The 13,114-nt window shown below is 41.7% G+C and overlaps 1 long non-coding RNA gene across 9 annotated transcripts in view; it reads right to left on the bottom strand.

The window, feature by feature from the left end:
* Positions 1 to 13,114, bottom strand: part of CFAP418-AS1 (CFAP418 antisense RNA 1) — a 541,308-nt gene that overhangs the window by 15,906 nt on the left and 512,288 nt on the right. Inside the window, exon 3 of one of the 9 annotated variants that reach the window (NR_038206.1) lies at positions 7,691 to 7,800. The exons of the other annotated variants lie outside the window; for them this stretch is intronic. This is a non-coding gene — a long non-coding RNA (CFAP418 antisense RNA 1). The remainder of the gene's footprint in view (positions 1 to 7,690; positions 7,801 to 13,114) is intronic. 9 annotated transcript variants of the gene reach the window in all.

Here is a 13,114-nt window from a genome sequence, read left to right as displayed (position 1 = left end):
GGGGTAGGGAAGAAAGGGTCAAAGGCTGCTCTAATTACTCTCATTTTAGCAAGCAGAATGAAATGAAGTTTCCTGGGGTAATTAATCAAGTCGTGATGAAAAGCTAACACACACTGGACACTTTTTTTGGGTCAGGGATTTGCTGGAAATTGCCACTGCCTCATGAAGGACACTGTCATTAGTCTGGCAGAAGGTTCTCACTTAGGAAAGAATGTATAGTAATGCAAGGTCCAGCATTCAAAATAAAGGCTTAAGGAAAACAGCAGCAATTATCTGGCATTGCTCTTGCTGAGTTTTGGCTTCAATTCTTGCTGGTAACAGGAGGCTTGCGAGTTTCTACGGTGTGTTGGGTGGAAACGGTCTATGCCTGGTGATTTTCACAAACAGATGAATATACTCCTATTTCCAAGCATGCGATTCAGCCACTTGGACTCCAGCAATAACTGCCACCCGTTTCAAAGGAACTGCTGTAATGCAGTCCTTACTATCTGAGCTCATATCTATTACGAAAATCAAGCTGCATGTTTTTCCAGGTGCTACCATCTTGGAAATAAGACACAAGGGGACCAAAAACTGTGTGTCAGAACCTAATGTGAAAGCCTCCAATTAGGCTTTTTTTTTTTTTTTAAATCTAGTTATTGCAAGCTGTTTTAGCTAAAACCCGAATGTACTTAAATGTCTTCCAACAGTGGATATTTGCTGCTGTTATGATTGATATTTTATTTGAAAATATTCAAAAAGTACCATCAAATTAAATGTATATTTTACATTGTAATCTACTTTGGTCTTTTTTTTTTTCATTTCAGTGTCAAATTAGGCAATGCCTGTTGATTGTCAGTAAAATGAGTACAGTAGAATGACTAAATAGCAAATAGTCCAACTGTCAGAGGATTTCTGAAACCAGACCAGGAAAAACAGCAACATGGAAATTAAATGCCATTCAGGGACTTTGATTCTCTATCTGTCTCTTTATGGTGTTCCGTGTTTCAGGCCAATCTTATTCTGTCCTTTTCCTAAGCTCCCCAAATAACATGGAAAGCAAAGAACAACTGTCCTGCTGAACACTGTTATTCTGAATTTTATTCTTTAAACTTTTTGCCCAGTTAGTCATACGTCTGAAAATGCATAGAGTATCCTCTTAAGCAAGAGTGTGACTCAAACTCTCACTACATACTTGCGAAAGAACTTTGGCATGCCCCATCTCTGAGAAGGCTGGTGGGGTTGAGGCTGGACCAAATAGTGGCTGAATGCCTTCATGAACATGGAGGTCACTCTTGAGATCAAGGCTGGGTGGATCTGAAGGGTGGGGCAGCCCACTGAGCACCACGTAAAGTCAGAGGGGCTGGAATGTTGGGGAAAAATTGAACAGACACTGAAGGAGTCAATCTGTGGTTGCTGCCAAGTGTCTCCTCCTCTTCTTCTACCATAAATTTGGAATCTGCGTTTATCTCTTTCACTTCCCCCACTCCAGTCCTTACCGGAGTCTCTATTTGTTCTGTTTGCAGTCACATTTCATTCCATCTCCCGCACTTTAAGGCAGTGTCTTTATCATAAATTTGGCCACTTCCATCATACTACAAACCTTCCAGCTTGTACAGTACCCCTTATAATCCTACAATAATTTCCAATTGCTTTCCCAAGTGTTTCATGAAGCTTCTCTGTAAGGCTTTCTCATGTATTTTCAAACCTGGATACCTTACCTATTCTTTCCACAATACTCATCAAAATTGTCAATCCCAAATAAACAGACCATGTGTAGGTTTGCTGTGAAATAATGGATTGGATCCTTTAAAAAAGACTAAAAATTACTATAAGAAGATGCAAAAGCAATGGAGTTGATAGCACTGGGATCAAAAACCAATGTAATAGCTGTCACTATAGAATGACTGAAGATGAACTAATAGATTCCTCTCAGTGGCTGTTCAAAATGGTACTTTTAAGAGTACCTTTAAAAATTTACTTTTCATGTTTAATGGTTCATAAGAAATACATGATCATTGTAGAAAATTAGAAGACATAGATAAAAAATTATCTATGACTCCATCATGAGACTGTTGATGTTTCTGATGTATATCCTTCAAGACTTAATAGTAATATTTAATATATTTATGTATATGTATATAATATACACACAAACACATGTGACAAGATATTCTGAGTAGGGCAGAGCTAAGATTCAGATACATTTGGTATATGTTATTTGGTGTCACCTTCTACCTGTTTCCTGCTCTTCTCAAATACCTGTTTGTTCCACATGATCTACATGGAGCCTGAGGAGTCTTATGGGAAAGGAATTCAAAACATGTCCAAATTTGAGGTTCTAACATGTATAGTTATGTTTGGCAAACTTAGTGTGTATATGTTTGGAGTGATGTTCACTCCATAGAAGCCAGTATTAAATAAGATCTATGAAGTCCCTGAGAAAGAATCCATCCTAAAAGTCAAGCTAATTGGGGCAAACTCAGAAACAGGGACTGAAGGAGAAAGTCATGATTCTGGATTCAGGGTGTAGTTATAATGTCAACCCCTGTCCATCCCACTCCCAATGCCCTAGACTCCTAGGTTAGTACACTCTGAAGATGAAGACACAGTGAGGAAAAATGAGAGCTTAAAATCTAGGATTCCAAACAACCTTGCAGTAGTTCTTCCTTACCTCAGCATAAAAAGAGAATTAAGAAGCTGGTAAAACTCAGGCATCAATGATAGTTGTCCTTAATGGGAACTTCACAGACTGTTGTCATGTCCTCCCTAACATACACATACAAATGCTGTGTCATACTCTATAACCTGCTTTTAAGAATTGAGTATATTATGATTTTCTGTTGACTCCAGTAAATATATTTCTGTAATAGCATTTAAAGTGGTTTCAGCATATACATTTTCTCACAATTTATTTATAAACAGTGGGTCAGTGAACATCCTTATAGCTAAATCCTTGGGTAAATGCTAAATCATTTAATTGGGATGAATTATTAGAAGTAGGATTGTGGGTCACATGGTATGCATATGTTTAAACCTCTGACATGTACCAAACACATATATGTTATATACCCTTTAGGGAGGCTGAACCAACTTCCTCCTATCAGCACTGAATGAAAGTGACAGATATAATGTTATCCTTTTAATTCCGTTGACCTCTAGCTAACAGATAGAACAGGTCTTCCCTTTCTAAAACCACCACCCACTGTAGATAATATAGAGGTATTAAACCAAGTGGATTTGTCCACAGTTTGCAGAACCCAGTCGCATCTTAGAGCAATATGGCAGGCACAGGCCCATGCTCAAACCATTAATCTTGGCTGATCTCAGTCCTCTCACTCTGCAAGCACATATCTAATCTGGCTACTCCGCAGTATATTTTGTTGAGTACTGCATTTTTCTCCTACTTAGTATCATGTTTTTGGAATAATTTTCTCCCCTGATGTATTATTTTATATTTTTCCAGATCTTCTCTTCCTTGGTATTTCTATACTGCTTTACCAACCTCCCTGAGCAGGCTGACTTACAGTGTGAATTCACTCACATCTTAGCCACTTTAAATTAATGAGCCACATAAAAACCCATGAGGCACTACTATTATCAACTGTGCCTCAATATACTGCATCTGTTCCTTCCTTGCTCTCTGTTTCTTTTTGTGAGCTCATTTCTAGTTTCATCAATATTATCTATTCTTGTGATCCCTGTTCTATTCAACATTAGATATGCATTTTTAAGCTACCCAATTGTTTAAAAGGGAACTAAAGAAACATAAAATGGGCTGAAGAATACATTATAAATGCAAACTTTATTACTTGGCAAAGGTTGTAAAAAATGGTGGTTATATGAAAATAAAAAAATTAGCACTCATACACTGGTGGGTGTAAATTGATATAGTGTTTCTAGAAGGTAATCGGGAAACAAATATCAAAAGCCTTAAAAAGCATTTTATGCATACAATTGTAGCTCTGTGAATTTATATGGAGAAAATAACTGAACAAGTACACAAAGGTTAATTTAAAAGTGTGTTTATTGCAGCATTATTTATAAGTAGAAATGGAAACAAACAGAAAGTTACATGATAGAGAATTAAGTAAAATAGGGTTCTATGTGCATATGGAAATATATGCAGCTATTAAAATGATGACATGAGTTTGTGTTTACAGTAATGGAAGAAGATATAATGTTAAATAAAAACAGCAGGTTGCAGAGTAATTGGTATAGTATGATCCCATCTCAGTAATAAAGGCATTTGCATGTCTCTAACCAGAGTGGAAAAGCTGGATCTCATTTCTATTGGCATGCATGCTAAGCATGGGAGAAAATGACACCAGAGAGAAGTGTTAGGGACACTTGTGCCCAGGGAAGGAAAAGGAGGAAGCAGGAGGGAAGACCGTGGCTGGCCTAGGTAATGGTTTGATCCCTATAAAGATGGGGGCATTCTCTCCAGTTTCAACCGAAAGTAGCACATGGCTCTGGAACCCTGAGCATGCTGAGAGTGGAGGTGCTGTGTTCAGCCTAGGAGAGACTGCTCTGGGAGCACCAAGAGAGAATATCTCCGACAGGAGACTGGCTTCCAAGAGCAGTGGCAGCAGGCAGTGTGTTGCAGAAACATAAAAACCCTCTTAAGAAACTGGCATACAGGCATTCCTCCCTAAAGCAAGTCACATGGCCATTGCAACGTCAGGAGGAGAGGAAATACACTCTACCTCTTTAGCAGCACTGGGACATGTAGTCATATGGCAAAAGGCATGGATTTAGGAAAGGGTAAAGGATTGAGATCATTATTGCAATCTATCACACCTGCATTTTCTCATATTTTGGACAATAATCCCATAACACTTATGTATTTATGCCCATTAAAATAGGTGATATGTTAGATTGTTAGACTAATGGTTCCCAAAGAACCATGTTGCCCAGTGTTTGGGCCTGTATTGGTTTCCTAAGGCTGTTGTAACTAAGTACCACAAACTAGGTAGCTTCAAACAAAAATGTATTCTTTCTTAGTTCTGGAGCTCAGAAGTCTGAAATCAAGGTGTTGGTAGGGCCATGCTCCCTTTGAAGCCTCTAGGAGGAGGATCCTTCCTTGCCTCTTCCAGCTTCTGGTAGTTCCACGTGTTTCTTGGCTTGTGGCAGTATAACTCCTATCTCTGCCACCTTCACTTGTCTGTCTTCCTTCTGTGTCTGTGAGTCTTTCCCTGTTCTTATAAAGACACTTGTCATTTTGATTTCAGGACCCATTTTACTCCAGTACAGTGTCGTCTTAACTTTATTATGTCTGCAATTATCCTATTTCTACCCTATAGGGTCACATTCTGAGGTATTAGGGGTCAGGACTTCAACTTCTGTTTTTGAAGGACACGATTTAGCTCATAACAATGGCCTTGTGTTGTTCCCTCCCTCATTGATTCTGGGTCATATGACTTGCTTTTGCCAACAAGACAGCAATAAATTTGACATAGAAAAGGCTGGGCTGGGCTGGGCATGGTAGCTCATGCCTGTAATCCCAGCACTTTGGGAGGCCAAGATGGGTGGATAGTTTGAGTTCAGGTGTTCGAGACCAGCCCAGGCAACATAGTGAAACTCTGTATCTACCAAAAATACAAAAAAATAAGCTGGGCATGGTGGCTTGCACCTGTGGTCCCAGCTACTCAGGAGGCTAAGGTGGGAAGATCGCTTGGGCCTGGGAGGCGGAGGTTACAGTGAGCCAAAATCGTGCCACTGCACTCCAGCCTGGGTAACAGAGTGGGACCCCATGAAAGAAATAAAGAAAAGAAAGGGAGAAAAGAAAGAAAGCAAGAAGAAAGAAAAAGAAAGAAAGAGAAGGAAGGAAAGGAAAGAGGAAGGAAGGAAGAAAGGAAGGGAGGAAGGGAGGGAGGGAGGGAGGAAGGAAGGAAGGAAGGAAGGAAGGAAGGAAGGATTGATGAGCACTCGAGCACTGAGGCTTGCCCTCTTGGAGTGCTGCCCCCACTATAAGAGGAAGCCTGGTGTAGCCTTTTTGAGGATGAAAGGACTATAGGCCAGCAAGGCCCAGCTATCTCACATGTCCTGGCTAAGCTCATTGCCCCGCCAAACCTCAGCTTGAGGGTGGGCTGGGCACTGAGGTGAAGCCATAGAACTGCCCAAGCAAGTCACAAAATTGTAAGAAATCATAAATTACCATTTCATCGAAGTCACTGAGTTTTGGAGTGGCGGTAATAGAAAACTGAAACAAATAGTTGTTGGTTTTCCTAAAATCTAAGCCCCAAGCAGATTTGATATTCCCCAGCCCACCAATTCTAAAACCATTGGTTTTATTGGAACTGAAAAGAACTTTAGAGATAATCCAGTCTGACTTCCTCATCTCACAGCTAAGAAAATTGAGACTCAGGATCTTAAACCATGCCCCTCTCAAGGCAGGCATCAGTCTACTGATTTTTGGTTCTGTGCTTCTTCGACATTACCAAGAGGTCACATGCTCTAATATGAAACTACTACTCTTAAGGGTGGGGCTGGCTCATGGTCACACAGCTATTCAGTGTCAATATCAGTTCTAGAAATCAGATTTTCTAACTCCTCATCTAGAATTCTCTTCCTTTTCAGGGAGAGTGAGGAGTATACGGTGTGTGTCTTTTACTCACACATTTAGCTGAGTATTGTCCTGCAAAGTGTTATCTTTGTCCCAGAGTGGGGTTCAAGGGGAAAGGGATACCATTGCTTATCTTTCCTACCTCTGAAACCTCTTTCTCTTCCTTTTTTACTCTCTCTTCCTAAATCCCCGAGCCCTGGAAATATGAGTAAGAAGTCCTACCCCTCCCCATCAGCCACCACTTCAAGCAGGATGGATTAATGAGGTTATGTCTCCAAAGAACTTTGAGTTCCTTGGAAGAAAGGCATCAACATGCAAAGTGGCGGTTGTTATTGCGATTACTTCACTGAGTAGGGTTTCACAGCTGTCCTGATGGAAAAGGGGCCAACAAAACAGAATGCCAGTTTCCCCCAGCAGAGGAGCAGCTGGAATGGATTATAAATGAGACCTGTGTGCCCGGTTCTCTTTTTCGTCAAAGTCCATCAGCCTGTCTCAATGCCCAGCTCTCCCCTTGACAGCCCAGCAGGGTCTCTGAGCCAGACAGGTGTGGGCAAGGCACCATCTAAGCCCCACGTGCATAAGCCTGCTTGGCAGGGGCAGCAAAACCCTATATTCTGAACCAGGGCCAACCCATTACCAGTGCTCAGTAATGCAATGGATTTCTCCAGTGGCGATTCGGGGTAAGTAAAACATTCTCATTGCTCAAACTTCCCTCCACTTTATAGGGCAGGAGGGACAGAGCAGGGAGAGAAGAGGCTGTGCAGACTCAGACAAATGTTACATTGCCAGGACCAGAGCACCTCTACCCACCCTTCCTGCCTTCTTTCTCTTTTCCTTCTTCCTGCCTTTCTTCCTCCCTCCCTCCCTCCCTTCCTTCCTTCCTTCCTTCCTTCCTCTTTGCTCCCTCCCTCCCTTCCTTGAAACATATATGTATTTAATATTATGTCGGGCATCACGTTAGGTCCTGGAGAAATAACAAAAAACAAGATGCAGCCCTTGGCCTTCGTGGGCAGTAATGGTGGTAGTGAGTGAGGCAGAAACAGACAAATGAATAGAAAATCACATCTATAACACATTCTAAAAGCCACATCGCTGTGGCAAGACTACGTATACGGTACCCCAGGGACACACAGAAGAGCCACTCACCCTGGTTTTGAAGGGATCTTGAAGGGCTCCCAAAGAACCAATCGAGACTAGTCAGGTCAAGTGGATGGCAAAGAGAAGGGATATTCCAAGCAGCCTCAGTTCCACTGGTTCTGAGATGGTATAAAATTTATCAATGTTTTGTGTATACGGAAAACAGATTATGAACATTATAATAGTATTACTTAGGCTGTAATCATGATATTATTCCTTCATTTATTGAATATTTTCTATCTGCCAAGCACTATTAAAAACTTTACATACAATGCCTTATTTAATCCTCATGGCAATTTTACAAAGCAGGTTCCATTACTATGCTTACTTTGCTGAAGATGAAACCGAGGCCCAGAGAGATTAAGTGAATTGCTCAGTCACAGAATAAATGAGTAGAAGCACACACTCGCTCTCACACAGCCTCACTGCAGAGGCCATGTCTGGAACCAGACAAAACAGCCCCTTCGTACAGAAACCTACCACTTCCACATGTAGGTTAGTTCTGTTCTGATTGGACTTAAGAAAAAAAAAAAGCAGGTCTGTAATATTAAGGTGCAATACACGTAGTGGGTTCTCAATACCTATTTGCTAAATAAAATATTTCCTCAAGTAGAGGACATAGGTTTTCTGGTGTTTTGGGAAGAATAGGTATGCAAAATGATATTTTCTTCTGATCCAATAACTCATGCATGAAATAGCTTTTTAATTTTTTTTAAAGAATAAAATCTTCCTGTATCTCATTTTTCCCAGCTTTATTGAGGTATAATTGACAAATAAAATTGTATATATTTACAGTGTTCAATGTGATGTTTTGATATACATAGACATTATGAAATGATTACTACGATCAAGCTAATTAACATATCCATCACATCACATCATTAAAAATGAAAAAGTATTTTTAATCAACACAAAATTGTATGCAAAAATATGCTCTCTGAGACAACTTGGCCCCTTTTAGTCACAACTTGTCTTTAAGTTGTTAGTCCTTTCCTAACCCTTTTGTCTTGTCTCTATAGCCAGACCGTAAATCCCTGGAGGTCGGAGATTTGTCTGTCATCTTTTTCCATCCTTGCCAGTATCCAATTCCACCCCCTCCATTATGCTCCAAGGGTGATCTTGCTGGGTCTTCATTAAAGAATTTATCACAGCATTCCTCTTAGTTGAGTTAGTTGTGTGCAAATTTAATGAATTCTTGAAGGCATTTATTGGGGCACATGATACATTTCCAGTAAGGGCTTTTGATCTGAAAACAGAAGGCTGTTTTCAGGGCTGGTAGATAAACCAAACCCAAGCCAAAAACTTTCAACCAACTTGTGGACTTTCTTCAATATCCTATGCTTTTCAATCCCTTCAGCCCTCAATATCCCTTTCTTCACTCCCCGTCTCTGTGCAGCATTCCTCAGCTATACATCAAAACCATGTTTTTATTTTCTTGATTATCACGCTGAGTTATATATTTTGTCTGGGAAATCACCCAGTTTTAGGACTTTTCTTTTTCTTAATATGATGACCATTTCAAATACCAATGAAAATGTTTTGTTTTGTTTTTAGATTTTGTGTGCGTGTGTGTTTATTAATGCCAAGTGATCTGTTTAATGCATTCTAATCATCTGGCTTGCTTCTCTTCTGTGGTGCTTCCTACTTAAACAAGAGTTCTTTGCTGATATAGAGAATAAAGATGACTTATTTAATCAAAAAAGTAAATGATTACTGATTCCTTATTTCTAGAATGGCGTTGGGCTTAGCATTTTTAATGCATTATCTCATTTGAACTTGATAATGCCCCTCACAGGTGAACATTATTATCATGTCCATACTATAGATGAGGAATCAGTGGCTTGGGGGTTATAAGTGATTTGCAAATGAAACACTGGAATTCAAATAGATCTGATTCCCTGGTGTTCCTAAAGACTCAACTCTCATGCCTCCTCTTATTTACCTAGAATCAAGAATTTCTCCAAGCACCCCAGGGTTGATCTCATTTGCCTCCCACAAAAAGAGGGAAACTGAGGGGCACATTAGGTGATATGCTTGAGATCCCAGAGACTGCTAACCATTGATTCTGGTTTGTGGGTGACACTCCACTATTTCTGTCTGTTTTGAATAATGAGACCTAAGAGAGTAGGTATCAAATTATTCCTGCTTGCTTTGTGCAGACACAGGTTACATTTGAGTGACAGATGGAAACAGATATTTAAGTGTGTCTGGGCTCTGTAAAAATTAGCTGCAAAAACCACTTCTGCCTTTCTTGGCTCACCAGGACAGCCATAGCGAGAGTGAGGCAGGACGGGAGCCACAGAGCTCCACATCGTTCTGTGGTTACTTTATATTGTCCCCCAGGCATATGTAACCAAATTGTCAATTCCCGAACGTTTCTTCCATGTGTGGCATTTCCTCTGAAGCAAGTTGAGCTGGAAGAGGACAGGGACCTGGCAGGCTGCCTGTGGGCTAATCAACCCCACAAAAATAAAGAAATACAGAGCTAGGACTTGGCATCTGGTTGGATCCCATCCATCATAAACTAAAATTATTGCAGAAGGAATCTTCCTTTTTCATTCGTTCTCCCCATTGTTTACCTGAAATCTGATAGGGGCTGTGTGGGATATTTGGCATCTCTCTGCACTCCACACTGTGTGCAGGTAGCATGCAGTGGGCACGCTGTAGAGTGACACTTGAGGAGGACGTCCAAGCCACCACTCCCAGGCACCCTCTTGGCAGCGACCTCACCATTTCATGCAGACCCAGGCTGTTGTGAGCGTTCAGTGTGGCGACCACTCTAAAGCAGTGGCCCCCAACCTTTTTGGCACCAGGGACTGGTTTCATGGAAGACAGTTTTTCCATGGATGGGGTGTGGCGGGGGGCAGGAGGATGGTTTCGGAATGAAACTCTTCCACTTCAGATCATCAGGCATTAGGAAGATTCTTAAAAGGAGCTTGCAACCTAGATCCCTTGCATGCACAGTTCAGAGTAGGGTTCCCACTCCTATGAGAATCTAATGCCCCCACTGATCTGACTGGAGGTGGAGCGCAGGCTGTAATGCTTGCTCACTGACACCTCACCTCCTGCTCTGTGGCTCAGTTCCTAACAGGCCACCGACCAGTACCAGTCCATGGCCTGGGGGTTGGGGACCCCTGCTCTAAAGCATCTAGCATAGGCCTCAGTTCATGGAAGTCACTTAACAAATGTTAACTTTAATTCCCTCTTTGTTCATAATATTTTTGATGAGTTGGATAAATTATTTTGTCCCAGATTTGAGATAGATAGACAGATAGATAGATAGATAGATAGATAGATAAACAATTTTTCTTCCCTGTGACTACCCAGCTCTCTGCTCATGGGCATATCCCTGGCCTAAGTGGCCCACAAGAGTGTAGACTCCAGGCCAGGTGCAGTGGCTCACGCCTGTAATCCCAGCACTTTGGGAGGCTGAGGTGGGTGGATCATGAGGTCAGGAGTTCAAGACCAGCCTGGCCAAGATGGTGAAACCCCATCTCTACTAAAAAATACAAAAATTAGCTGGGCGCGGTGGTGGGCGCCTGTAATCCCAACTACTTGGGAGGCTGAGGCAGGAGAATGGCTTGAACCCGGGAGGCGGAGGTTGCAGTGAGCTGAGATCCTGCCACTGCACTCTAGCCTGGGTGACAGAGCAAGACTCCATCTCAAATAAATAAATAAATAAATAAATGAGTGTGGACTCAAGCAGGCTGCCTACATTTGAATGTCTACCTTGTCACTACCTAGCTGTGTGATGTTGGAAGAGTCACTTAAACATTCTGTGACTCAGTTTCCTCATCTGTAAAATAGGTATAATAACAGTAGTACCCATCTCACAAAATTATCTTGAGGATTTGAAGAGTTAATCCACATAACTGCTAAGAATATTGCCTGGCACACACAAGTGCTTAATAATCATTAGCTATTTCTGTTCTGTAACTAGTCCTTCCTTACCCTCTGCTTTTGCATGTTATATCTGTAAAAACAGGAAAATCGATAGTTGCTGCATTTATCTCATTTAGCGCTTGTGAAATACGCAGTGCAGAGGACCTACTATGTGCAGGTCCGAGCAGCTTATGAGGATAAAAATGAAAGAAATTTAAAATGAGGAGCAAAATTGGGTGAATTTTTAAAAAGTCATATGATTCAAGTTGACATCTTAAATGATTGGGGAAATTTCCAGAGTACTGGAAACTGTTGCCTATCACTCCAGGGAGATGGTTGTGTTGAAATTTCTGGGTACTGGGGATATGGAATCAGTGATGTAACAAAAGGAGCAGGTGCCACCGGCAGATTTTTCCAAATTATGAGACCAGATTGTCCACAACAAGAGTATCAGTTCTCCCTTCTCTCCAGCCCTTTGCATGTGGCCTTCCTTTGAAGTGCTGGTTAGTGATTGACTTTATAAGCTGATGGTTTTCTCTGGGGTTGTATTAGTTCATTTTTATGTTGCTGAAAAAGACATACCTGAAACTGGGAACAAAAAGAGGTTTAATTGGACTTCAGTTCCACAGAAACTGGGAACAAAAAGAGGTTTAATTGGACTTCAGTTCCACATGGCTGGGGAGGCCTCAGAATCATGGCGGGAGGTGAAAGGCACTTCTTACATGGTGGCAACAAGAGCAAAATGAGGAAGAAGCAAAAGCGGAAACCCATGATAAACCCATCAGATCTCATGAGTCTTATTCACTATCAGGAGGCTAGCACAGGAAAGACCGGCTCCAACCCCACATTTCCTTTCTGTACTGACCTAGCAGAGGTTCTCCATGAACTCCCCGCCCCTGCAGCAAACTTCTGCCTGGGCATCCAGGTGTTTCTATACATCTTCTGAAATCTAGGCAGAGGTTCCCAAACCGCAATTCTTGATTTCTGTGCACCCGCAGGCTCAATACCATGTGGAAGCTGCCAAGGCTTGGGGCTTCTGTCCTCTGAAGCCACAGCCTGAGCTGTACATTGGCCCCTTTCAGCCATGGCTGGAGCATCTGGGACACAGGGCACCAAGTCCCTAGGTTGCACACAGCACAGGGACCCTGGGCCTGGCCCAAAAAAACACTTTTTCCTCCTTGGCCTCTGGACCTGTGATGAGAGGGGCTGCCGTGAAGGTCTCTGACATGGTCTGGAGACATTTTCCCCATGGTCTTGGGGATTAACATTAGGCTCCTTGTTACTTATGCAAATTTCTGCAGCTGGCTTGAATTTCTCCTCAAAAAATGGGCTTTTCTTTTCTACTGTATCATCAGGCTGCAAAGTTTCTGAACTTTTATGCTCTGTTTCCCTTTTAAAATGGAATGCTTTTAACAGCACTGAAGTCACCTTTTGAATGCTTTACTGCTTAGAAATTTCTTCCACCAGATACCCTAAGTCATCTCTCTCAAGTTCAAAGTTCCACAAATCTCTAGGGCAGGGGCAAAATGCCACCAGTCTCTTTGCTAAAAC

This window comes from Homo sapiens, chromosome 8 (assembly GCF_000001405.40).
Source record: "Homo sapiens chromosome 8, GRCh38.p14 Primary Assembly".
Classification (NCBI taxonomy): Eukaryota; Metazoa; Chordata; class Mammalia; order Primates; family Hominidae; genus Homo; species Homo sapiens.
The sequence above is the reverse complement of the archived record's forward strand: the minus strand, read 5'-3'. Positions and strand labels throughout refer to the sequence as shown.